The sequence below is a fragment of the Homo sapiens genome, chromosome 1, assembly GCF_000001405.40.
Source record: "Homo sapiens chromosome 1, GRCh38.p14 Primary Assembly".
Taxonomy (NCBI): Eukaryota; Metazoa; Chordata; class Mammalia; order Primates; family Hominidae; genus Homo; species Homo sapiens.
Window position 1 is genome coordinate 54,129,073 of NC_000001.11, and position 27,119 is coordinate 54,156,191.

A 27,119-nucleotide genomic window follows, 5' to 3' on the forward strand; every position below is an offset into this window, starting at 1 on the left:
ACATTCCATGTGGAGGACTGTGGGTGGAAACAGCCTTGGTCTGTTGGAAAACAGCAGGGAAGCTGGGAGGTGGGATAGGGGATGGGGTGGGGACTTGCTTTCTTTTTAGGCCTCTCCCAACTCTGGGATATGAGGACTCCTCAGGGAAGCCCTTACCCAGGCCAGAGCCCACCAGCCAACCATTTCCTGATCCATCCAGGGGAAGCCCTGCGCTGGGTGCTCTCTCTATGTTCTCTCACTTAATCCTCATGATAATCTGGTGAGGAGGGTGTTTCTACCCCCATCCTACACATGAGGAAACCAAGACTTAGAGGTTAAGCAACCTACCCAAGGTCACACAGAGTCAGGGAAAGAACTGGAAATGATCCCAAGTCTGCCTGACCTGCAGCCTGGAGAGTGTTTTCCCAAGACCAATGCATCCATTTGCCAGGGACCCTTTCCTCAGTGACATCAGCCTTGCTGGGACAAGCCGGCAGCAGGATCCAAAGCTCCCATTCAAGGGTTGGCATGTCCCGTGGTCACACAGCCTATGGGGAGGGAGCTGGGGTTCAAGCCTGGCTCTTTCCACAGCCCCTCACTCTGAAAAGAGAAAATTGGTAGGTGAGCAAGCAAGCTGTGCCGTGCCCGCCGTGCCCGACACTCTTCCAGGGCCAGGGCATGTTGGCTAATGGGTATCATTTCAGCCCTTTCATTTCTAATAGACACTGTGCTGTCATAAAGACTATCATTTTCCACAGCTCACACAGATAATCAACATGCTGGCTGCCTGGAGGGCTGGGAATGTCAGTATTTGGGCACATCTGTGAAGATAAAACCATCCTCTCATTCTCTACTATTTCAATCCTTTCCCAACCAGACACAGCCCTTGCATTTGAGGGCACTGGCCTGGGATCCCAAGAGGCTCCAGCCTGCTGCACGATGCCCCCAGTTCAGGGAAGAACTAAGTTTCAACATTCCATAGCCATATGACCTTGGGCACAGCACTTACCCTTCCAGAGCCTCACTTTCCCCATCTGTAAAATGGGGGCAATTAGGGCTAACTTGCAAAGTGTCTTAAACGAGATTATTACCATGGACCTGTGAGTCCACTTAAAAGCTCTGACTTAGAAACCCAAGTTCTAGGCCCAGCCTTGCCATTGATTTGCTGTGTGACCTTGGGGGAGCCATGTTAAACATCTGCCACATAGTCGGTGCTTAGGAGGTGGTAGCTAGGACAGTGATGGTGCTGAAGGTATGATGTTTGTCACATTTTGCCAATAAGAAAACTGAGGCCAAGGACAGGCACGATGACTCACGCCTGTAATCCCAGCACTTTGGGAGGCCAAGGCAGGCGAATCACTTGAGGCCAGGAGTTCGAGATCAGGCTGGCCAACATGGCGAAAACTCATCTCTACTAAAAATACAAAAATTAGCCAGATGTACACCTGTAATCCCAGCTACTCGGGAGGCTGAAACAGGAGAATCGCTTGAACCTGGGAGGCAGAGGTTGTAGTAGTGAGTCGGGATTGTGCCACTGTACTCCAGCCTGGCAATAAAGTGAGACTCCGTCAAAACAAGAAAGAAAGAGAAGGAAGGAAGGAAGGAGAAAAAGAAAGAAAAGAAAGAAAGAAGAAAGAAAGAAAGAAAGAAAGAAAGAAAGAAAGAAAGAAAGAAAGAAAAGAAAGAAAGAAAGAAAGGAAGGAAAAGAAAAGAAAAGAAAAGAAAAGAAAAGAAAAGAAAAAAAAAGAAAAAAAAAGAAAACTGAGCCACAGAAGGAAATGGGCTCATGAAGATGAAGGTACCTGGCTGGTGAAGGTAACTGCTTGAAGGTACCTGGCTCAAGACTGACAGTGAGAAGGTGGGTAGGAGAGAAAGAAGAAGGGGGCTCTACTCCCAACACCCTAGGGCAGATTCAAGACTCTCCCGCCGGCACACCTACCCTGACAAAAGTCCCTAATTCACTAGAAGAGCTTAAACCCATTTCTAACTCTTCCAGTTGGACTTGAACCCATTTTAATTCCTAATGTCCAGGCAACTTTTTCCCTTGCTTAATTCATTTCTTACTTTGTTGGCTCTTCGTCATTTTTTTTCCAAGTTACCAAAGCATCTGTCCCTCTCCCTCCGCAGTTCTGCTCTCCCACACCAAACGCCTTGCAGGTAGGAATCTCATCTGGCGTGTGTGCTGCTGTGTGCCTGGAGCCTCTGCCACAGCAACAGACACAAAATCTGGAATCCAGTGGATGCTTGTTGGGTTGTTGAGTGAATTGTAATTGGGCCATAGTTTTTTTAACTTGATGCCAGTGGGCAGCATGGTCAATCTGGAGATTTCTGCTATTGTGAAAGGACTCTCCGGAGTGATCATTACGCAAATACAAAGACGAGCAGGGGGAAAATGGTGTATTATAAATGCATTTTTTTGTTTATTTTTCATTAATAAGATTGCTTCACTTCTTGGTGTCAAGAAGAGCTCTGAGAAGGATGGATCAATTTGTATAATAATCCCAGAGGTCTTCTCATGAGGAAACCCAACCCCAGCTCCCTGTGATATGAACTTAGAAAATGTGGGTAGACTGGAGTAGCTCTGAGTAGACTGGAGTAGCTCTGACTGAAGTCCAAAGGCAGGAGAGGGTACAGAGGGCTCCAAAGAGAACTCCTCTGGAGGGCAAAGATGGGCTGGTGATCTGAGCTTGGCATCAGGGGCAAGGACAGAGACGTGTGGGACTTCAATCAGCTTTTGTCAAGGATCACAGACATTTAAGGAAAAACTCCAACATGAAAGAGAGACACCAGCCTTCAGCTCCAATCTCACGACTGAGCACAGTGTGTGGCCTGCCGCGGTTTATATGGGGCTGTGACCCAGCAGGGCATCGCCACCTCCACGGACAAGCGTCTGCCAAGATGTGCAGGTCCAGCCTTCAACACTGACACCATGTGGCAGGGGCTGAAGTGAGGGCACTGGATGGGACTTCGGCTCCCTTTCTCTATTCCTGGAGTTTGGAGGCAGAGACAGCTTGCTTTAGACAAAGTTCCCAGGGTTCCTGGGTCAATTCAGGATGGTGAAGGCCCCTGGATGGATACTTCATTAGCTTCCTGCTAATGAAGGTCTAAGATGAGCAATTAATTGGAAAAATAAGGCTGGGTGCAGTGGCTCACACCTGTAATCCCAGCACTTTTAGAGGCCGAGGCGGGTGGATCACCTGAGGTCAGGAATTCGAGACCAGCCTGGCCAACATGGTGAAACCACATCTCTACTAAAAATACAAAAATTAGCCAGGTGTGGTGGCAGGTGCCTGTAATCCCAGCTGCTCGGGAGGCTGAGGTAGGAGAATTGCTTGAACCCGGGAGGCAGAGATTGCAGTGAGCCAACATTGTGCCATTGCACTCCAGCCTGGGCAATAGAGCAGGACTCTGTCTCGAAGGAAAAGAAAAGAAAAGAAAGAGAGACAAAGGAAGGAAGGAAGAAAGGAAGAAAAGAAGGAGGGAGGGAGGGAGGGAGGAAAATTAGTGGTGCCTTTGTTTGTACCCTGAGTTGGTAAAGCACCCATATAAGCTATAGAATGAGTCAGTTTTATCTACACTCTGCCACCAGTGACCACAACTATCCAAACTGACAAGTAACACACGTGGGAGAGTTCTTTTCTACAGCAGAATATCTTTAAAATTAATAACAGCAATTGCATATACATACACAGCATGCTACAGATTACAAAGCTCTTATCCATCTCTGCCCGCCTCTGAGCCTCATGCCAGCCCTGTGAGATAGCAGGGCAGAATGACTGTCCCTAGGAAATGGAGGCTCAGAGAGGGATATGACCTGCCAATGGTCACCAAGTCAGCAAGTCCCCGTCCCACCCCTGTTATGGGTCCCTAAGCTGCCTCCCAGGCATGTCAGATGCCAGGTCCCTATGCTGTCTATTCAAAGCAGCATCAAGACCACGATGGCAATAACCATGAGGATTCCAGCCAGGATGCAAAGGCCCAGGAAGACGATGTCACTGGTATCCTGGGCCACCATGCTCACTGGGCCCTCCAGTGCCTCCGCCTCATCCATGGGTGGTGCTTCCTGAAGGTGCTCCGCAGTGGCAGCATAGGGCCCCAGCCAGTGAGAGCCAGACAGCAGGTGGACAGAAGCCTCCTTGCGCCGTGGCTCACAGCGGACCTCGTACTCATGGATGTCCTCCCGCCCCGCGGCTGAGAAGTCGATGTACAGCACGCTGACAATCACTGAAGTGTTGTTTCTTCTCTGTGGGGTCACAGGGTACTCATCACACCTGAAGGAGCTTGGGCTGAACTTGTTTCCCTATATATGTGGGGTTCTCAGTACCAGGGGGGCAGAGCCCGAGGAGCCTGTGTTCTAGTCCTAACTCTGAGCCTCAGTGATCCCATCTGTAAAAGGAGTACCGTGAAGGTAAGCTGTCTGGAAGGACGATATCAGATTTGGTGCCAGTGTTTCTCTGGCTAATGTTCTGGGGCCATTTACCATGGTCCAGGCTCTATATTTTAAGTATCTTATTTAATTCTCACAACAATGTTCTCTTATTGGTACCACTAAAACCCCCATGTGGCCGGGTGCGGTGGCTCACGCCTGTAATCCCAGCACTGTGGGAGGCCAAGGCGGGCGGATCATGAGGTCAGGAGATCGAGACCATCCTGACTAACACCATGAAACCCCATCTCTACTAAAAATACAAAAAATTAGCCGGGCGTGATGGTGTGCGCCTGTAGTCCCAGCTACTCGGGAGGCTGAGGCACGAGAATGGCATGAACCCGGGAGGTGGAGCTTGCAGTGAGCTGAGATCGAGCCACTGCACTCCAGCCTGTGGGACAGAGTGAGACTCCATCTCAAAAACAAACAAACAAACAAAAAAAACCCCATGTTACAGAGGAGGAAACTAAGGCCCCGAGGTTAAATCCCTTGCCTGAGGTCACACAGCATACAAGTGACAGAGCCCATATTCTCACTCAGATCTGCCCAACTCTTAACTGTGCTCTTGGCCATCACACCTCACTCAAACAAAAGAATATAGAACCAAAGGGGGCTTTTCAAAGCATCGACTCCAATCCCCCATCCTTGGCAAATTTACAGACATGACTACTGAGGCCTGGAAGGGCGATGACTTGCCCAGAGCTAGAGAAGCCAAGTCTCCTGCCTCCACCTTAGGAGCTTTGTCCCCGGTGCTGTATGGCTTCCCCCTGCAGCCTTTTCTCCCGATGATATCTGCAGTAGGTATCCTGCCGTTGAGCCCCTGGCCACCCCAGGGACAGCAGCCTAGTGTTGGGAAGAGCCATCGAGGAACAAGATGTGGGGGCCTGGCACCCTGCTGCCCTCCCCACCTCAGATGAAGGAGTCGAGTGGCCCTGAGACAATGGGCCTGCAGGCCCAGGCTGGAGGGCAGCATTGTGATGGGCAGTCTGGCGTGGTCAGCAGTGATGCAGAACTACTCTCCCAACCACGCCCAATCTGCAGCAGCCACTGCCTTCTTCAGGGTTTCCTAACTGGCCCCATCTAGCAAGTAGCACTCCTGAGAGGACGCTTCTAAAAATCAAAGCTGCCTAGCAGAGTCACAGTAGCCGTGAATAGTAGGAAGTCCCCAGCACCAGAGACTGGGTGACCCTTTTGGGGAAGGGTTGAACAGGTGTCACAAATCAGGAGGGTTCTCATGTGGTTTTTTTTGTTTGTTTTTTGTTTTGTTTTGTTTTTTGAGACAGAGTCTTGCTCTGTTGCCCAGGCTGGAGTGTAGTGGCATGATCTTGGCTCACTGCAACCTCTGCCTCCCGGGTTCAAGCGATTCTCATGCCTCAGCCTCCTGAGTAGCTGGGATTACAGGAGTTCACCGCCATGCCCAGCTAATTGTTGTATTTTTAGTAGAGACGAGGTTTCATCATGTTGACCAGGCTGGTCACAAATCAGTTTTATGGACTAGGTGACTTTATGTGTCTATTCCAACTTTGGGCTTCCAAAAGGCCATGTCCCCAGAGGAGCTCCTGCTCCCATCTGAGAACTTGTGCCCTGGATTTTTGGGATATAGAATCAGGACACTGGGGAAAGAAAGACTCCTGAGAGTGGAAGGGGACCCAGTGAAAGGCTAAAGTAAATCTACATAATAAGGAAGGGAGGGAAAAATCAGAGAATGGGGGTGGGGGGAAGCTTTAGGGGGTTTTGATGAGTGACAGACTTGACAAAGAAAGAAAAGCCACACAACATGGGTTGCTGATGGCTGTGGAGGGAGTCAAGTCTCTAATGTTTTTAAAGAGTTGCACGTAAAGATTGGCATTACTTTTTATTGCTGTCAGCCGTTTGAGCTGCGTATCTTCCAAAGCAACTCTATGCAAAGACTGATCCTTTGAGGGTCTAGGATTTATTTATAAGGGTTACACTAATAATCCATGAATCAAAGGTTTTCTGATTTTATGTTTCCAAGATACTGACCCCAAGATTTCATGGTTCTGTGGATCTGAGTTCTGGTGGTGGTTCTGTGACTATGAGACAGTGAGTGTCTATGAGTCATTGGTTCTAGGATTTCCTGAGTCCCTGCTTCTCGGATTCTTTGTCTCCGTCATTCCATGACTTTATGGAATGTGGTTCTGTCCCAGACAAAAGCTCTGGGAGACTTAGGGCATGGAATAGGGGGAGGGCAGAATACCTCGGCAGCCAGGACTGGCCCCCTACCCTCCTTCTCTTCTCAGGTCAAAAGGATGGTGGTTGCCAGGAGGCTGGGGCAGGCAGAGGGTGGCCTGGAGGGGCCAGAGGCATACATGTGGCTAATGTTGGGAGGCGGGGGAGGGTTTGCTGGAAAGCACATAATTTCTGCTAAGTCAGACTGCAAAGCCCCTGGATTTCAAGGCCAGAGAGTTTTTCCAACAGAGGCCACTGTTCCTTTTCTCCATACCCCACTTCCTGACCTGTCCCTAAGCATACAAATATCCAGGGTGCTTGAGCCACTGCCCAGTGACTCTGTGAGGGCCCTAAGTCTGGGTTCACGGCCTCCAAAATACAAGGATAGTAGGGAAAATGGACTTGTAAGGCTCACAGCCTTTTGAGGGAGGGAATCCTGTGCCTTGAAAGGGCCTTTTGTGCTGTGGAGCCCAGGAATGGATTTGGATCACCAGGTTGGGGATGGGTGGGAGAAGCAGGGCTCCCACACAGCTCTGCATACTAAAGGGGTGAGGTCTTCAGGGTCCTTGGGGAGCACTGAAGGGAAAGGGGAGGAACAGCAAAGAATAACTGCTGGCAGCTCAGCCAGCAGGGACCCTGTAGCAGGAGTGACCGGTAGCGTCTTTAGGTTGCTGTGGGGTTAAGCAGCAGCAGCTGGGGTTAGGAAAGAGAGCTGGGAAGAGAAAAGGAAGAGAGCTGGGAACCAGAGGGACACCCTCTCCTCTGTCTCTCCTATTGGAGTTCTTTGCTACATTTACCCTAAGCAAATTGGTTGAGGTAAGTAAAGCCAAGAAGGGGTTAGCTCTGCATCCAGGCCTGTGTGGCCCCCAGAGCCAGGAGAAGCTGAATTTTCAGGAATGTGAGATGCCTTTCAGCAGGGTCAGAGTCCCTCCCTTGTGACTGCCCCTTCCCCCAGCCCCTACCTGAGACTCAGTGCCGCAGGTATCAAAGCGGGCCTGGATCCTGAGGTTGCCGCCGACCTCCTGGGCGGCACAGCTCCGGCTGCCCAGGTAGACCTTGGTCCGCTCCAGCGGGGCCAGCGCCTGCGTGGAGATCAGGATCTGGAAGTCCGTGCGGGAGCAGCTCACGTTCATGGGCACCACTGGGAATCGGAGGGAGGAGCTGGAAGCCTTAGGGTCAGGCGGTCTGACCCTCACCTCCCCAACACCCCCTACCCTCCCACAAAGGGTGGTGGATGGGGAAACTGAGGCCCAGAGTAGGAAAAGCTCTTACGGAATCCTACAGGGCACAGTGTGGGATATCTTATACGGGTTACTCTGTTCACCTCCATCAGACTGTGAGCTCCTCAGGGAAGGCACCAAGTTTGATCCTCTCAGCGTCCTCTGGGCCCAGCACAGAGCTTGGCAGGCCCAGTGAATGCTGAGTGAATGAATGAATGTTCTTAATAATTATAAAAATTCATCTGCTAATCACTTGGCCATGTGCCAGGCAATTCATTCAATTATTTAACAAATATATTGATGGCCTGCTATGTTCAGGTCCTATTCTCAGCACCACAAATACAAAAATGAGGAAAAAACACAGCTGAAATTCTTGCCTTGTGGAGCTTACATTCTAGATGGGGGAGGGGGCAATAAATGTAAAATACACCCACGTGTCAGCGTGCCCCAAAGGAAAATCTAGCAAAGAAGAAACAGCGGGAGAGTAGAGCGAATCGGAACTGGGGAGGAATGAGGAAGGAGAGCTTCAGTTTTAAAAAGGGTGGTAAGGGAAGCCTCACTTTCCCTCCCTACAATGACCCCAGGAGGTGGATGTGACTAAACTCATTTTACAGGTTTGGAAATGGATGCTCTGAGAGATGAAGTTGTTTGCAGTGGCCAACCGGGTCGACAGGATTTCAGAGTTCGTGGTCTGTTTGCCCTATTCAGCAGGCTCCTGCAGCCCTCCTGGCCAGGACAGTGTGCACATGACTCAAAATGTCTGCTTTGGGTGAGCATGTGTGTGTGTGTGTGTGTGCGTGTGTGTGTGTGTGTGTGTGCATGCGGGGGCAGGGGTGAGGATAGGGGAAATGAAGGCAACTGCCTGGTGGGAGGAAAAGGAAAGAGAGCTGGCAGGCAGAGGCCTGGAACTCTCAACCCCTCTCCGGGAAATGCCTCAGACATATTTCAGCCTCTGGTGTCTGGGCAGTCGGGGATTTATGGGCCAGCCATCTCCCACGATGATCTCGGTGGTGCTGAACTGTGTGTCACCCCCAGCTGGCACTGTGGCTGCCCTCCCAGTGGGGAGGCCTCCTGCAGCCTGGGCCACATCTGGAGCCTCGCCCAGTGTGAGTGCCCTTGTCTGCCCCTGGGCCCCCACAAGGATCTGAGGGGGAGGGAGGTGAGGTGGAGTGGGGGGTGGGCACTCCTGCCCCGAAGCCCCTGGAACAGGAGCTGGGATAAGAACCCCCGCTAACTTCCTCTCCTTCTCTGCAGAAGGGGCTTGTCCTAAATCACACAGGGCTGGGAGAGGGCCTGGGAGAGTTCTGGAAATAAGACTATCAGAGGCAAAAGGAACTTTAAAGATCTTTCTGTCAATATCCTCATCTTACAGGTGGAGAAACTGAGGCCCACAGAGACATGGGGCCATGCCAGCTAGTGGAGGCATAGCCAATGGAGCTGGGCTCTCCAGGGCTGTGCTAACAGAGCCACAGCTCTCCCACCCCAGCTTGCATGTGGAGCCCACTAAGGCCCGAAGGGGCTGGCCTGCCCAAGTTCACGGCTCTGCCGCAAGCTTGCTGCAGATCACCATCTCCTCCATTCCTGGCCCCAACTCCCCTTGCATATGGAGCAAGGAAAGATCTTTTGAATGCTGAACGGGCCTGAGACACCTTCCTGAAGGAAAGCTGTCCTTGGATCCAGGCATTGTGACCTTGTTACTTCATTTGGCCTTCATGACCACCTGTCTAGGGCCTTCATCAACCTCTTTTACAGATGAGCCCTCTTGGATGATAAGTAAATGGCAGCATTTGGATGTGACCCTGGTCTCTCTGAGCTTAGCTCTGGACTCCCCTCCCTCGTGCCCCTCTCAAACAAGCAAGAAGAAGGCAGGAGAGTAAGTTCTAATCCTGGCTGTGCCACTGACTCCCTATGTGGTCACAATGAAGTCTTTTCCCTCTCAGCACCTCTGTTGCTATACCTGCACAACGAGGAGCTTTGCTTGGCCAGGAAGAGGGCACAATAGGTACAGAGTGCAGGTATTTCTGGGCCCATAGACAAGGAAGGGTGGGAGGAGGGGAGCAATGGTGGACCCTCTTGGTTGACAAATCTAAACAATAATATGGAGCCTGAGAAAGCCAAATACCAGCTCCCCAGCTTCCTCTGCAGCCAGGCATGGCCATCTGACTGAGTTCAAACTGATGGGACATTTTGTAAAAGTCTTATGAGAGGTTCTAGAGATGCTTTTGCTTTCTTGATAAAGAGCCATTTGCAGCTGGCACTTCCCCTGTCCCCTCCAGTCTTGAACATGGATGCGATGCCTGGAGCTATGGCAGCCATCTTGCAGCTGTGAGGCTCAGAGAGTCCCAGAGATAACATTTGGAACAGTGTTGAGCCCCTGGACCAATACAGCAGCTGCCTAGCTCCAGGCTTCCTGTTGAGTGAGGAAAAACAAGCACCATGTTTTCAATGAGTAGTTCTGAATGATACAAGCAGGGCTGGTAGACATCCCCACAGTTATACCAATTTTTTTGCCATAAACAATATTACCATATTTTGTCTATTTCCCCTGGATACAGGGGACCAATAACAACACAAGAGGGGCCAGGGGCCCAGGGGGAAGGAACCAGATGGGGAGGGGTGAGGACTCACGAAGTTAGAAGCTGGGGAAGGAGGCTCTGCAATAGTGGAAACAAGCGGGAGCCGTACCGTCCAGTCTTAGGGGTCCCGAGAGTGGGCAAGGGTGTAGCCAATGGAGAAGGAGCTGGAGAAGACCATTCATGGGGGGGGCAGGACAAACTGGTGGGATGGAGGAAGGAGACTGCAAAGACTGAGGCTGCAAAGCCTCCCCTTCGCCCTCAGTGGACCCACTCCCACAGCCCAGCTGACCTCCGATGTAGGCCACAGAGAAGCCCCTGCGGGTGGTGCTGCGGTCTGTGTGCAGCAGAAGCAGAAGCTGGTTGTGGCTTGAGGTCACGGGTGGTGGCAGGTGGTGTCCACACCAATTCCCCAGCAGGGGTGCCTCCTCGCTGGCCCCATCGAAGGCCGCCAGATGGTCAAAGTCACAGGTCTTGGTCAGGCTGTTGGGCTCCTCCAGGTCCAGGTCCAGGAAGAACACCTTGACCTGGTAGCCCGGGGGCAGGCGGATGGTCCAGTGGCAGCGGATGTTGTTGGGGTAGGAGCTGGGGTACTGTGGGCTGGAGAAGTTGCCCCGCATGGCCATGTATACCTCCTGGCATTCTCCTGGATGGGGGATGGGGAGGTGGAAGGAGCAACAGTGAGGGGAGAGGAGAAGTCACTCTCTGCAGTTACAGCTTAGGCAGCAGGTGCCACAGTGGTCCAAAAACCACCAGCAGGTTGTGGGCACCATGGCTAGCACACCAGACAATTGATCCCAACTATCTGAAAGTTGGGATGCTTGATCCCAAAGCTTGTTTTAAACTGCAACTAGCTGAAAGCTGGGACTTGCATTCCAGTTGACAGTCCCCTTCACAGGTGTAGGCCCTGTTAGGAATTCAATAATAATACACAATACCTGTCCTCAGAGTTACCTCTGAACTCCCTGGCTTGACAGATGATGTGGTTCATGCCTGGCCTTTCCCCTTTTCTCACTGCCCCATTTGGTATGTACTATGAGCATACCAAACACTCTCTGCCCTCCAGGCCTTTGCACATGCTGTTCCTCCTGCTTGGAATGCCCTTCCCTTCTGCTTCCGTCTAACTCCTTCAGGGTACTGCTCAATTCTCTTCTCCACGAAGTCATCCATGATTCTTACTGATGGATAGCACAGATCATAATGGCTTGCGCTGTCTGTTTCCTTATAATCTCTCTAACTAGACTGTAAAGTTCCCACGACTTCATCCATTCATTTGTACGAAAATTGAGTACCTACTATGTGCCAGGTACAAAGATAAGCCCATAAGGGACTCAGTCAGACAGGGGAGATTGACATGCAAACCACACACAGAAGTGACAAATGTTAGATCATAGTGTAAAAAACTTATATAAGGAGTTGAAAAAAGGATTAATTCTGGTAAAACAGTAAGTCTTCGCAGAGGTGACATGCTTATGTCTTGGCATAGGCCAAGGGTATGCTAGAGCATTCCAGGCAGAGAGAGTGCAGAAAGCTCAAGGCTGCGGGGGGCAGAAAGGTGTGACCCCTGCAAGTGTAATGGGGAGACAGGAGCCCAGTAGGCACAGGAGGATTCAGGGTGGAGCGCCAGCCCCTCCTACCTGAGAAGTAGTAGGCCTTGAAGCCACGGCCTCCGATGTTGAAGTCGGACTTGAAGACCACCTGCAGTTCGTGGCCCAGAGACACGAGGGTGGGGGGCCTGGTGCTGCCACAGTAGTGGTGCCCACGGGTGGGGCCAGGCCCCCCAAGCACAGCCACGTAGTCATAGGTGCACTCTTCATTGCCCTCCACCTGGAAGTCCACGAACACCAGCTTGACGTGGGCAGGGCCAGCGGCCCGGATCACCCAGTGGCACTCCATGCTGTTCGGGTAGTTGTTGGGATACTCAGGACTGGTGAGGACCCCTGACAGGCCAGTCAGGACGCCGCCACACACATCTGCAAGGGAGCCCACTTGAGCTGACCTTTCTTTCTCCTTGTGGCTCCCAGTTTCCTCCCTTGGGAACAAGACACTCCAACATGCTGCCCCCACAGGTATCTCATTAGGGCCTCATTACCATCCAGCAAGCACCTGCTACCCAAGTAGCAAGTGTAGCACGTGCTCAGGCCCAGCATTTGGCACCTATGCTGCCTGTTCAAATCCTCAGAGTAGCCGCACAAGGACTGTGCTGCAGTTTCTCTGATTTTATAATTAAGAAAAGGGAGGCAAAGACAAGTTCAGTAGCTTACTTGAGTTTGAGTTCACCCAGGCAGACCTTGAGATAAGGATTTGAGTGCAAGGAGTTTACTTGGGAGATCCAGGGGCCCCCAGGTGGGGAGGGAGGGAGAGGACAGAGAAGGGGAGGTGTGTTCAAGTCAGCTGCTGACCTTGGGGGGAACTCTGGGGACGGGGTAAAGCACATACTTCAGAGTTCTGTCAATCTAGGAGCAAGGGAGCTGCGGCATTTACATGCCAACTCCCCAGAGTGCAGGCAGAGGGCTGCTGTGGGCTGGGAGTGCCCTACTGAGACTTCAGAAAAAAGCCCTCCAGCATAGAACTGTGGAGGTTGGCAGAAGCACATCGACGTGGCAGGGCCCAGGGAATGTGGTCAGGGCCCTGAGAGCAGGTCACCCGACTGGTAACTGGGAAAGTGGGATTTGAACCCAGGAAGACTAACTATGGATCCTGTGCACTTGACCCTTGTGACCTTCACTGTCCACTCCTACGAGGCCAGTGGGGCACAGAGGCTGAGGTGCCTGAGCTCAGGAATGTGATCAAACCTCCCTAATGGATGAGGAAACCAAGACTTAGAGAGAGGACCTGATGAAGTAGAGCTTGGTTTGACATCTGAAGACAAGTAGTCTCCCATCTCTGCCTTTTATTAGCTGTGTGACTCTAGGGAAGTAACCCAGCCTCTCTGAGCCTCATTGGAACATTAGAAATCATAAGACTGAACCAGCTTGATCCACTGGGCTCAGACTTGAGCACAGTCTGAAAATATGCTGCTGGAAACTCTCAGGAAGCCAGCTTGGCCAGTACAACTACACGGCAAGTGTGGGTGAATGCTGCGACTTGCTGGAGGTCACCAGCAGGGAGGACATACGTGGGATGTGTTTCCTGAGACTCCAGCATCTCGCCCTATGGCACGGCTGTGTGACCAGGGCTCTGGATGGGGCATCTAAGGACTTGGCGTCTTTTCCCAGTGCTGGCCCAGCCATGTAACTTTAGGAAGGCCCTCTCAGGGACTCAGATTTTGTGAAATGAGAGGGCAGGTTTAGATAGCCTGTGAGATCCCTTCCAACACTAACAACCTTCGCGGAGACTTCCCAACTGTGCCCTGGGGCTCCCCAGCAGCCCCCTGGAGCACCTGCTGGCACCTGGTGCAAATTTCATTCTTATGCTGTATTTCAAGCTCTCTTTTAATGTAATGAAAAGATAGCACCCACAGACTTTAATATCTTTAACAAGATATTAAAATTTAAATATTCTACATTTAAAAATTTAACTCATTAGAGGCCATCAATATTTACTTGTGTTTTTAATGACTGGCTTATAAGAAGTTAAAATATGAATTTACAGGCTGGGCATGGTGGCTCACGCCTGTAATCCCAGCACTTTGGGAGGCCGAGGCGGGTGGATCACTTGAGGTCAGGAGTTTGAGACCAGCCTGGCCAACATGGCAAAATCCTGTCTCTACCAAAAATACAAAAATTAGCCAAGCATGGTGGGTGGCGCGCGCCTGTAATCCCAGCTACTTGGGAGGCTGAGGCAGGAGAATGGCTTGAACCCGAGAGGTAGAGGTTGCAGTGAGCCAAGATTGTGCCACTGCACTCCAGCCTGGATGACAGAGCAAAACTCCATCTCAAAACAAACAAACAAACAAAAAAGAACTTACAGAATAAATGCATACCACTAAAACATTGCCTTTATTTTTTATTGCCTTTATCTTTTTTTTTTTTTTTAAATATAGGGGATTAACATAAGGTTCCATTTGACATAAAGGTATTCCTGTTTTTAAAAATGTTAGGAAATGTGGCTGATGGTATTAAGACTTTGATATCCTAACATTCTACAAATCTAAGGGTCTAAAATTCCAAAACTATGATTAGATCAGCCTATGGTTCTTGTGTTGTGGCATTCTACAATTCTATCCTTCCAAATGCAGCAGTGACTGGGGTCCCACCTGAGTCCCCCAGGATTGCTGTTGGCGGACCCTGGGAACCAGTAGCCTCTGTGGGTGTCTACTGTTTGAGTTAACATCAGTGAGGTCTTTGGTTCTGGCATTGGGAGGAAGCAGGAGATTTGAGCCTTTGCACAGAACCTGGAGACAAGGATGAGTGAGTGAAAGAGAAAGGCAAGAAGAACAAGGCCTCCTCTCCCTCACTAGACTGAGAGGCAGGTGTCAAGCCTGGTTGAAGGAGAGAGGGGTTAGGGACACATGATATAACAGCCACTAGCTCCACCCAGACCCTCGTGTGGGAACTCAGGCAAGGATTCCCAAGCCGTGAAGTGGTGGGATGCTGCAGAAGGCCCCAACAGCAGTGGTGTCCTCTCCTGTGGCCTTATGCCATGACACAGGACAAGAATGACAAGGGTAGTAGAGCATGAGAGCCTCATTCCTGAGCGCAGTGCGACCCTCTGACGACTCTAGGAGAAACGGAGGCGGCATGGGGAGCATTGCCATGAAGGTGGGAACCCCAGCTACAAGCATGGTCATGAACAGTGAGGAGGCTGCTTTTGCCTTATAAACTATGCATGAGAGCTGGGTCCTGCAGGTTACAGAGCAGCCTACGTGCCAAGATGCTGAGACCCTGTAGGTCTCACCTGAGCCCTGCTGCTATCTTCCCATCTCCACCCCAGGGCCAGCTCCTCCACTGCCAAATCCCCCCTTGAACTCCTGGGATCAAGTAATCCTCCCACTTTGGCTTGCCAAAGCACCAGGATTACAGGTGTGAGCCACTGCAACAGGTCCCTAAGGCCCCCCGTTGACCTTTCTGGTAGCCCGCAGAAAAGCCATGGCTGGCCACATGCTTGTCCGAGTGGAAGATGACAGACATGACATGCCAGGAGGAGGTGAAGGGCGGCGGGGGCACCTTGCCGCAGAACCTCCCCAGCAGGTTGCCCTTGTCTGGTGAGGCCCCATTGTAGATCTCCAGAAAGTCGAAGCTGCAGGTGTCGTGGTACTCTAGGTCAAAGGCATGGAAGGTGAGCAGCACCGAGGATCCCTCGGCCACCACGATCAGCCAGCTGCACTCTGTGTTGTAGGGGTACAGTCTAGGGAAGTTGGGGCTGGAGAAGTTTCCAGAAGGTGCTGAGAGCACACCCCCACATTTGACACCTGGGGCAAGAGAGAAGTATGGCTGAGACTCCGTGCTGGGGTCTTGGGTACATGTGGTAAGGGCAGTGGGCCCAGCTACAAAGCTGGGTTCTTGGGATGGGATGAGGGAACACATGGCCATGTGTTTATTTGCTCATGCATCTACTTATTCTTCAGATGCTGACCAAGCATGCTGGTATTCATTCCACAAATACTGTTTGAGTGCTAGACATTGTTCTAGGTGCTGGGGTCACAGCAGAAACAAAACAGACAAAACCCCTACCCTCATGGAACCTACATTCTGGCAGGGAAGACAGACAATAAACATAGCAGGTAAAATATAGAGTTTATGGGGCCAGGTGCAGTGGTTCATGCCTGTAATCCCAGCACTTTGGGAGGCAGAAGTGGGCAGATCACAAGGTCAGGAGTTCGAGACCAGCCTGGCCAATATAGTAAAATCCCATCTCTACTAAAAATACAAAAATTAGCCAGGCGTGGTGGTGCGCGCCTGTAGTCCCAGCTACCTGGGAGGCTGAGGCAGGAGAATCGCTTGCACCCGGGAGGCGGAGGTTGCAGTGAGCCAAGATCATGCCGCTGCACTCCAGCCTGGGCAACAGAGCGAGACTCTGTCTCAAAAAATAAATAAATAAAAAATAAAAGAAATACATATATAGTATATGACACTGTGAGAAGCTATGGAGAAAAAGCAAGCCAGGAAAAGAGACAGGAAGTGTCAGGCAGGGCCCGAGAATTTTAGTTAAAACATTATGCAGTAGGGAATTTAAGTTAATTATTAAAACATTATTTTGAAATTAATAATAATAATAACCTCCCCAAGTGAAAATGTGCACAGTCTACTACGATGTTAAAAGTACATTTTTATATGTGCTGATTTGCTTGTGTTTGACAAAAGAAAACAATGGAAGGAAACTAATAAGAATAATTCTCTGTCAGGGGAAGTAGTAAAAAGAGGGGAGGAAGCAGGCATGATGGCTGGATCTCCTTAAATGTGCCCTGTTTCATAATTTTCACTGTGTAAGCATATAAAATACTTTATATAATTTTAAGAGATCAAAACAAAGTTAAGTAACCCCTAAATATCCCAAACTGAAACAAATAAACTGAATCTTACCAACTTGGAGACACAGTCACATGAGGAAAAATGATTTCAAATGACTTTGAAAGACAGTATTTTGACCACACAGTCCTAGTGGGATATATCTCAAGGACAAAATGAACCACAACAACATCTTAAAGTATATTCAGTAAACTTACTATTAGTAATAATATTCAATATCATTTTGCAATTATTATATATTAGAATAGAGCAAATAAGTAAGTTAATGTCAATAGAAACCAATATTTTCAGTGTAAGAGTGGTAAGTATAATTTTTTTTTTTTTTTTTACGTGGAGTCTGGCTCTGTAGCCCAGGCTGGAGTGCAGTGGCACTATCTCAGCTCACTGCAACCTCTGCCTTCCAGGTTCAAGCGATTCTCATGCCTCAGCCTCCCAAGTAGCTGGAATTACAGGTGCCCGCCACCACACCCAGCTAATTTTTGTATTTTTAGTAGAGACAGGGTTTCACCATTTTGGGCAGGCTGGTCTCGAACTCCTGACCTCAAGTTATCCGCCTGCCTTGGCCTCCCGAAGTGCTGGGATTATAGGCATGAGCCACCGCGCCCAGCCTGAGAGATATAAATTTAAAATAGTAAGTAAAACTCTTGTGATCCTTAATTTGAATTGAAAGTATCAGTGTGAACTTGATTATTTTTATGTTTTAAAAATTTATTTCCTAGTTCTGTTTACCAAGAAGGCCTAGAATCCAGTAGCATTTTACACCTCTAGGCTTTCGATTAGGATTCTTATGTTCAACTAAGATGAACAAGGCTCTTTAGAGCAATGTCTGGTACCAGGTTTAATACAGGAAATACACAAAATATACTTGGTTATCTTGCCATGCCAAACAGCAAAGAAGCTATCAAAGACTGCTGAGATTGTGTGGAAAGACACAGAAACCTGGCCAGGCGCAGTGGCTCATGCCTGTAATCCCAGTGGGCGGATCGTTTGAGCTCACCAGTTCGAGACCAGCCTGGGCAACATGGCGAAACCCTGTCTCTACTAAAAATACAAAAATTAGCTGGGTGTGGTGGTGCACGCCTGTAATCCCAGCTTCTCAGGAGGCTGAGACATGAGAATCCCTTGAACTTAGCAGGTAGAGTTTGCAGTGAGCTGAGATTGTGCCACCGCACTCCAGCCTGGGTGACAGAGCAAGACTCCATCTCAAAAAAAAAAAAAAAAAAAAAAAAAAAAAGACACAGAAACCTACTTGAAATGGCTTCCACTGGCTAAAGAAGGTACAATTCGAGCATCAAAAGAGAGTAATGCTTGCAGTGGATTGAAACATATCACATATATAAAAACAAGAATTCACAATGCAACTCAAAAGAAATTGAAATGAAACTCATTGGTTTATTTTAGAGGTTGCTAGGCACTAACTCATTTATCAATTTTTTTTAGGAAATTGATAATAGAAATTTAACATCTACTTGGCCTTTCCTATATGGACTGTATTTCTGGACAACTAAATAGATGGTGAGGGAAAACTTATTGTCGGCCCAGGCTGGAGTGCAATGGTGCAATCTTAGCTCACTGCAACCTCCATCTCCTGGGTTCCAGCAATTCTCCTGCCTCAGCCTCCTGAGTAGCTAGATTACAGGTGACTGCCACTATGCCCAGCTAATTTTTGTATTTTTAGTACAGACAGGGTTTCACTATACTGGCCAGGCTGGTCTCGAACTCCTGACCTCAGTTGATCTACCCTCCTGGGCATCTCAAATTGCTGGGATTACAGGCGTGAGCCACCGTGCCCGGCCGGGAAAACTTATTTATAGAAGACTTCAGAAAGAATAACAACACTAGGAAAACATAATTTTGGCTGGCCGTGATGGCTCAGACCTATAATCCCAGCAATTTGGGAGGGCAAGGCAGGAGGATCACTTGAGTCCAGGAGTTTGAGACCAGCCTGGGCAACATAGTAAGACCCCCATCTCTACAAAAAAAATTTAAAAATTAGCCGGGCATGGTGGTGCATGTTGGTGGTCCCAGCTGCTTGGGAGGCTGAGGCAGGAGGATTACTTGAGCCTGGGAGGTCAAGGCTACAGTGACCCATGGTGGAACCACTGCACTCCAGCCTGGGCAACAGAGAAAGACCCTGTCTCAAAATTTAAAAAAAAAAATTTAAACAAGGAAATCATACTTTCCAAGCCTTAATGAAATAATGGATCCAGACAACATTATCAAACCCTGTTCTAATCACTGAGTAAAAAGTTGATGAAAGGTAAAACATGATTTGGTTATACAGGCATTCCCTGTAAAATTCTTTCAACTTTGCTAAATGTTTGAATTTTTTTTTACTGGTCAAATAAGCCAGGCAAATAAAAATTTTTATAATTAAAAATATATAGCCAGGTGTCCTCAGCACTTTGGGAGGCTGAGGCAGGAGGATCACTTGAACCCAGTATTTCAAGACCAGCCTAGGCATAGCAAGACCCCAACCTCTAAAAAAAAAGAAAAAAAGAAAAAAAAAATTCACTTCAGCTGACTATTTGACAGTGAAAAAAAAAAAACTGAAAAAGTTAATTTGGAGAACTTTGTAACAAATAGACCAGGCTAACAAACCCTGAACCCACTGATGTAGACAAGTGTCAAGTGAAACACGGGCCAGTAAATCTCTTCTTGAAAAAAAAAAATGAAGAAATATGAATCTCAGGAAGTCTCTGGATCTGTCTACAGTTAGAGTAAATATGGAAGCTAGAGGAACATTTTAAGTAATTCCATGAGGACATATTTGGCAAGTCCAGAATGTGGGAAGTTCTATAAGATAAATGACGCTGGGGCTTCAACAACAAAAGATAAAGGGGGGAAGGAGGCACAACTGTTGTACTAAAAGAGTCAAGGCCGGGTGCCATGGCTCACACCTGTAATCCCAGCACTTTGGGAGGCCGAGGCAGAAGGATCACCTGAGGCCAGGAGTTTGAGACCAGCCTGAGCAACATAGTGAGACCCTGTCTCTGCAAATAATAATAATTTTATTAAAAATATAAAAGTCAAATATCAACCAAATGCAATGTATGGACCTTGTTTGGATTCTGATTTGAACAAATGAATTGTTTAAAAAAAAAATATATATATATATAATATATAATATATTTATTTTATATATATATATATTTGGTCAATAGTTGGGGAAAACTGAACATGAATTGAGTTAGCACATAAATTAAGGAATGAAGCCAGGAGTGATGGAGTGCTCCTGAGGTCCCAGCTTCTCAAGAGGCTGAGGCAGGAGGACCACTTGAGCCCAGGAGTTCGAGGCTGCAGTGAGCTATGACCACAGCACTGTAGTCCAGCCTGGGTGACAGAGAGAGACCTTGTCTCTAAAAAAATTTTTTTAAATTAAGCACTTATTATACCATGATAAAGGTATTGAGGTTATATACAGTTTTATGTGTTTCTCTGTTAGAGACACATTCTGACATATTTATGGGTGAAATAATATGGCATCTGAGATAGGCTTTAGATTTCTCCACACCTCCCAGAATGGGGCTGGGGTGGGATAAAAGAAACAAGAAAGGCAGAAGGTTGATAATTATTGAAGATGATTGATGGGGACGTAGGGATTCATTGTATGATTTTCTGTGCTTTGCGTGTGTTTGAAATTTTTCATAATTAAAAGTCAACAAAATAACCAGCACATCCCTGGTCACCTTCTCAGCGAGGCCTTCCCTAACCACCTGATTTACACCTGAAAACCTCTCCCCAGCCCATGCTCCTTCTCTCCCTTTAGTGCTATATGCTTCTCCATAGAATTCGTCACGATCTAACATGCTATTTATTTTACTTATTGATTTGGTTCAGTATCCTGCTCTCTATGAGAGCAAGGATTTCTGTGCCTCTCCCTACCGTATTGCAAGCACCCAGAGCAGTACCTGGCACAAAGCTGGTGCTTAGTGTATATTTGCTGAATGAATGAGTGAGTGAATAATCTTATATAATCCTCACAACAGCCCCATGAACTAGGCAGGGCAGGTGCTACTGACCCATTTTACAGATCAGAAAACTGAGCCCGGGAAAGGGAAGTCACTTGTTGTAGTGAACATCTATTGCTTTGGGTCTGCCCAATACCACTTCCTTTGCCTCTTGCAACAATAGCTCCCTCTTTTAGACACTGCTCCCCTCCTTGCCTCCATGTGGTAACCCTCCCTCCTCTTCCTTGACCCAGGGGTGGACGCCTGACTCTAGCTGGGGAGTCTTGGGGCTCCCACCACCACCACAGTGACTGGCCCGCAGGGTGAGCATGTGCTCCAGGCTAGGCCAGAGTTCTGCTCAGAATGCCCAGATAGGGGTTCTTTCCTTTCTGGTCCCTTGACTGGGAGGGGGAGCCCTGGGGGTGGAACAAGGTCCATACATTGCATTTGGTCGGTATCTGACTCTTTTAAATTTTTTAGAAAATTATTAACGGCCAGGCGTGGTGGTTCAGGCCTGTAATCCCAGCACTTTGGGAGGCCAAGGTGGGTGGATCACCTGAGGTCAGGAGTTCGAGACCAGCCCAGCCAACATGGTGAAGCCCTGTCTCTACTAAAAATACAAAAATTGGCCAGGCATGTTGGCGGGAGTCTGTAATCCCAGCTACTCAGGAGGCTGAGACAGGAGAATTGCTTGAACCCGGGAGGCAGAGGCTGCACTGAGCCGAGATTGCGCCACTGCACTCCAGCCTGGGTGAGACAGAGTGAGACTCCATTTAAAAAAAAAAAAAATTCTTATTATTTATGCTCAGGACTTAAGGAAAAATCCCCTGTGGGAACTGGAAGAGCCATGTGAGAAGTGGAAGTAGCCCTGGAGCCCAGAGGCTCTGGCTGTGGCATCCCTGAGCCCAGCTCGGCTACCTCCTGCCTCCCTGGTTACAGAGCCAATGTATTCTTCTTTTTGCTTAAACTCATCCAGGTTGAGTTTCTGTCACTTGCAACCAAAAGCATCCTGAAGAATACACTTAACCAAATCCCTATAAGAGAAGACACATTCGCTAAACATGTGCCCTGTACCAGGCTTGTGCTGATTCAAAATGGGCCCCTCTGTGGGAAGCTCACCATGGAGTGGGCCAGGGGGAGTCAGGCAAATGAGACAAAACACACAGCGTGATTGCACTGTGGCCACAAAGGGGCTCTGGGGTCCGGGGAGAGGAAAGCCGATCTTGCTGGGGCCAGCAGTATCAAGGAGGGGCAAGATTTCCAGAGGGGGTGATATTTGAGTTTGTCTAGGAAGAATGAGAAGGTTTCTTCAGTTGGGGAAGATTTTCAGGGAGGGAATGGCATAGACAAAGGCCCAGACGCACGTGCACTTAGCCTCTGTGAGCCGTGACATGGGGATAGTGGTGCCTCCCTTGCTGGGTGACTGTGAGCACTGATGAGCTAAAGGCTGTGTGAGGGCTGCACAGATGCACATTATCAGCTCTCTGCCTAGCTCTTGGGGTGGGACAGGGCAGGAATGGCATCTAATTCATGCCTTTATGGCAAAAGGACAAATAGATATTCTGTCCAATGCCTGTTATTGTCCTTCTCCCAGCCCTACCCACAGGGCAGGGAAAGGCGCCAGAGCATCAGAGTGGAATTCCTACAGCCCAGGTGGCTCCAGTCATCAGCATAAGCAGAGGCCTTGTCCACTAGGACCCAGCCAGGCACACTGATGTCCAGGGTTACCCCAAGGCCCCTTAAGCCCCAGTGGCCAGAAAATAGGAAAAGCTACCTCCTCCCACCACCCAGGCATGGGTTGAGATGCTTGGGTGCCCATCCCATCTCTGCCAGTGACTGGGTGACTGGCAAGGTACAATTCCTCCCTGAGCCCCACTTGAGCCTTGCCGAAGGGTGAAATGATATCACCCCGGCTTCACAGACAGGTAAACAATGCTTGGAAGGCCAGAGCAGCACAAAACCACTGGGGACCACAGTGCAGGCAGAGGGTTCCAGGAGCCCCAGTGAAGGCGCATGTGAGGTTGATGGAGGATGTGGAAGGCCGACGGAGGGAGTGGTATTTGATCTGAGCTTGAAGGGTGAGCCAGATGTTCTCAGGTGGAAAAAGGGAAAAAAGACTTTCCAGACAGAGGGGACAGCAGGGCTTAAGATCCCTGAGGGTGAAGCAGAAGGGGTTGTGATTCCCCTGCCAGAGCATGGGATGCCCAAGGGATGCAGGAAACTGAGGCTCAATACGATATGGAAGTTGGAGCCCACACTCAGAGGGCACTGAATACCATAAGAAGGAACTTTGATTTCACTTGCTTGGCAGTGGGATGGGCAGCAGGGTCTCGGGAGGAGAATAAAGACTCTTCAGCAATAGGCTGGGTGCGGTGGCTCATGCCTGTAATCCCAGCACTTTGGGAGGCCGAGGCAGGTGGATCATCTGAGGTTAGGAGTTCGAGACCAGCATGACCAACATGGTGAAACCCCATCTCTACTAAAAATACAAAAATTAGCTGGTCGTGGTGGCACATGCCTGTAATCCCTGCTACTCGAGAGGCTGAGACAGGAGAATTGTTTGAACCTGGGAGGTGGAGGTTGCAGTGAGCTGAAATAGGGCCACTGCACTCCAGCCTGGGCGACAGGGCAAGACTGTCTCAAAAAAAAAAAAAGACTCTTTAGCAATAAACCTTTAATAGTTTTTGGAGCCATTCCTTTCAACCTTGGTGACCATGTAGCCTTGGACAGGTTACTTAATATCTCTAGTCCTCAGTTTCTTCATCTGGAAAATGGGGGACTAACATCCACCTTGAAGTTTGTTGTGCAGATTAAATGCAACCTACATGTGAAACATGCAACACACGGCAGGCACTCAATATTGTCTCCCCCCATCTCAGGAACAAACACATTCTCAACTCAGCCACGTCCCCTAAAAGGACCTCCTGCTTTCTGGCTTCCCATGTAGAAACTTCTTGAGCCCCTGGCTGTTGCCTGCCCACCTCCTTCCCCTCTCAGTTCATGTCTGTCCCAAGAGTGCCTACCTTCCATGGCTTGGGCCTGGAGCCCTGGGCCCAGCAGTGCCACTGCCAGCAGCAGGCAAGCCCCCCACTCTGCCAGCATCTCCTCACCAGGGGCCCCCACAGGTCTGCCGAGCTCAGGTAGGCCAGGATCTCAGGGTCCGGAGCAAGGGAAAGAGAGGTGAGGCTGAAAGGGCCTCCAAGTTAATGGTGGCATGAATAATTCACCGGCCCCTAGAATTAGTAAGCCGATCCCTGGGTACTTCCTTTACTCACTGTAAAGTGACGGATCTGGTGTCACCAGGTTTACACGTTCTGAGATCTGCACCGACCACACTATCAGGAAGGGAAGGAACTCAGGCCTGGAAGGAAAGTGAGTGGAGGAGAAAGGGCATAACTTTTAGGGCCGGGTAGATCTGGGATCAATCCCAGTTCAGCCTGTAACTTGCCAGGTCACCTTGGACAAGTCATTTAACTCCCCTGGTCTGGGTCTTCTCATCCATCCAGTGGGGCTGTTCAGCTCCGACCCAGGGGCTGTTGTGCAAATGAAAGGAGATCTCACTTGCTAAAGCACAGAGTAGGTGCTCGCTACAGGTTCTTCCCATCCCCACTCCGAGGGAGCTGAAAGGAGCCTGTATTTAGTGGGACACGCAGGACAACTTCCTTCAGACATGCGGATTTAGCTCAGAGGAGGGAAGGAGGTTGCTGCAGACAGTTGAGGGAAAAGTCTTTTTCACGCAAGAATGCAGCAGGAATAACAGAATTGGAAAATCGTATTGTGCAACTCTTAATGCAATAATAGGTCTGGGAGCCAGTGTAACTTCCGGCCGAGAATATGGAATGCCCGCTCCTTTATTGATCCCAAGCCTTGCTTGAACATCGTATGTGCCAGGCCCCGCACAAGGAGCTGGCGCTGCAGAAATGCCCCGGGGACTTTGTGTCCAACAGGAAGCGGGCTCTTTCTTCTCATCTAGAGTCTTTTGATTTGGTTCAGTTCAGCCCAACATGCATTTCTAAGCTCCTTCTCTGTGCAGAGCCTGTGCCAGGCATGGGGACAGCAGGGGAACATGGCGCATTCCTGCTCTCCCAGTGAGGATCCTGGGCTGTTTCTGGCAGACTAAGGTCTGAATCCTGGCTCCACCCCTGCCTGGCTGTGGTAGCCCGGGAAAGTAACCCAACTCTGTAACTCTGAGGCCAGGTTCCTGGATTGCGAAACTGGAGCAAGAATTAGCAGCCTGCAGTTTGCTGAGAGGATTAAACGTGATAGTGTATGAGAAGTCTTAGCCAGTGCCTGGCTCAGTGCATAGACGCACTCAAGATTTCTATTTATCCTAGAGGAACCCAGACAGCCTCTTCTGCCAGACAGCATGTGCCTCTGGCCCATCCTTTTGTCAGAAGTCCCCGGGGAGCCCTTTGCTGCAGGCATAGGAAGACTCGTGGAAGGTGTTCAGCGGAGCCTCAGGACCCGTCAGGCCTGAGGGATTGGCTTACCTGTGGAGGTTGACTGGCAGGAAAGAAGTGTTCAGCTGTTCCAGGCAGTCTGAGAAAGTGGGAGTTTCTTTATTTTATTTTATTTTATTTTATTTTATTTTATTTTATTTTATTTTATTTTATTTTATTTATTTTTGAGACAGAGTCTTGCTCTGTTGCCCAGGCTGGAGTACAATGGCGTGATCTCAGCTCACTGCAACCTCTGCCTCCTGGGTTCAAGCGATTCTCCTGCCTCAGCCTCCCAAGTAGCTGGGATTATAGGCACCTGCCACCACACCCAGCAAATTTTTGTATTTTTAGTAGAGACGAAGTTTCACCATGTTGCCCAGGCTGGTCTTGAACTCCTGACCTTGTGATCTGCTCACCTAGGCCTCCCAAAGTGCTGGGATTACAGACAAGAACCACCGTGCCTGGCCAGATGGGAGTTTCTTAAACACCTATTGTGTGTATGAGAGAGGAAGGCAGGGAAAAGTGCCAACCCAGTACCTGCTGGGTGCAGGGTCTGGTGCTGGGAGCCTCACATGTGGGTGCAGCCTCCCAGCTTTCACAGCATTCGGTATACTCCCAAAGGACAGGGGAGGAAACTGAAGCTCAAAGGGCTGGAGCCACTGTTTTGGGTTGAGTTCCTTCACACGAAGACCCCGGGACAAGTAGTGGATTTGGGAGGTGATCCCAGGAAGCACAGGTAAGGAAGTGGGACAAGGAGAGGAAAGAAGCTAGTTCAAAGAATGTCAGTGAGCAAGTTACCACTGTGGGCAACCAGGGCTAAGTCCCAGTGGGAACCTCCAGGACACAGTGTAGACTGTGCCTCTCACTGTTTCACCGGTGGAGGAAGAAGTAGAATGTTGATCACCAACTCCCCGTGCCCTTGGTTGGAAGCTGCTCTGAGGATCTTATCTCCCAGATATTTCCAACCTGCTGTGCATGGCCCCAAAGCCCTGAGGCAGAGAGTACAGGGGGCTACAGGCAGAAGCTGCCTGCATGATGGGAACAGTGAATGACACAGGATGGGGCAGGGCCATAACAGCACCTACTGAGCCATCCATAATGAAAGACTGTCGGCCGGGTGCGGTAGCTCACGCCTGTAATCCCAGCACTTTGGGAGGCCGAGGCGGGAGGATCACAAGGTCAAGAGATCAAGACCATCCTCGCCAACATGGTGAAACCCTGTCTCTACTAAAAATACAAAAATTAGCTGGGCGTGGTGGTGCGTGCCTCTAGTCCCAGCTACTCAGGACACTGAGGCAGGAGAATGACTTGAACCCGGGAGGCGGAGGTTGCAGTGAGCCGAGATCATGCCACTGCACTCTAGCTTGGCAACAGAGTGAGACTCCATCTCAAAAAAAAGAAAAAGAAAGACTGTCATCATTCCAGTGACCTCACCCTGCACTTGATAGACTCGTGTATTAGTCTGTTCTCACACTGCTATAAAGAACTATCTGAGACTGGGGTTATGAAGAAAAAAGGTTTCATGGACTCACAGTTCCACAGGCTTAACAGGAAGCATGATTGGGAGGCCTCAGGAAACTTACAATCATGGCGGAAGGGGAAGGGGAAGCAAGCATGTCTTACCATGATGGGGCAGGAGAGAGAGAGCAAGCGGGGAGGCACCACACACTTTTAAACCATTCGATCTCATGAGAACTCACTATCATGAGAACAACATGGAGAAATCTGTCCCAATAATCCAATCACCTCCCACCAGGCCCCTCCTTCAACACATGGGGGTTACAGTTCTATAGATTTGGGTGGAAACACAGAGCCAAACCATATCACCTCCAGAATCATCCTACCTCTGAAATATTTGTCCCACTCCCTGAAACAACCACTTCTGTTTTGGGCACCCTCAGCAGACTTTTCAATGACACCCCATCCATGGTA

The 27,119-nt window shown here is 49.4% G+C and overlaps 1 protein-coding gene across 2 annotated transcripts, besides 1 other annotated feature; it reads right to left on the reverse strand.

Moving 5' to 3' along the window:
• Positions 1-3,614: 3,614 nt before the first annotated feature.
• On the reverse strand, positions 3,615-23,928 carry CDCP2 (CUB domain containing protein 2). 2 transcript variants are annotated; one of them, NM_001353655.3, is made up of 6 exons: positions 23,772-23,928; positions 15,394-15,741; positions 12,026-12,361; positions 10,681-11,034; positions 7,558-7,736; positions 3,615-4,222 (listed from the first exon to the last, which is right to left on the reverse strand). In NM_001353655.3, exons 1-6 carry the CDS (start codon positions 23,848-23,850, stop codon positions 3,896-3,898), a joined length of 1,623 nt encoding a protein of 540 aa, NP_001340584.1. In that variant the 5' UTR covers positions 23,851-23,928; the 3' UTR covers positions 3,615-3,895. The 2 variants fall into 2 exon arrangements, with proteins under 2 accessions (NP_001340584.1, NP_963840.2); NM_201546.5 differs by lacking the exons at positions 3,615-4,222; positions 7,558-7,736 and having other exon boundaries at positions 9,923-11,034.
• Positions 8,846-9,472: an enhancer, noted in NCBI's record as "H3K4me1 hESC enhancer chr1:54603591-54604217 (GRCh37/hg19 assembly coordinates)". NCBI's record gives its function as "activates a minimal SCP1, AML or CMV promoter by ChIP-STARR-seq in naive H9 embryonic stem cells {active_cell/tissue: H9 hESC(naive)}" and the evidence as "EXISTENCE:reporter gene assay evidence [ECO:0000049][PMID:30033119]".
• Positions 23,929-27,119: the final 3,191 nt, after the last annotated feature.

What these genes read in the sequence shown, in the direction of transcription:
- CDCP2 (NM_001353655.3), bottom strand. Translation starts at nt 23,850, where the DNA reads ATGCTGGCAGAGTGGGGGGCTTGCCTGCTGCTGGCAGTGGCACTGCTG. An exon ending in TTCTGCGGGCTACCAGAAAG is followed by an intron (nt 12,362 to 15,393) that starts GTCAACGGGGGG and finishes GCTCCCTTGCAG; the next exon opens with ATGTGTGTGGCGGCGTCCTG. An exon ending in CTCTGTGGCCTACATCGGAG is followed by an intron (nt 7,737 to 10,680) that starts GTCAGCTGGGCT and finishes TCCGATTCCCAG; the next exon opens with TGGTGCCCATGAACGTGAGC.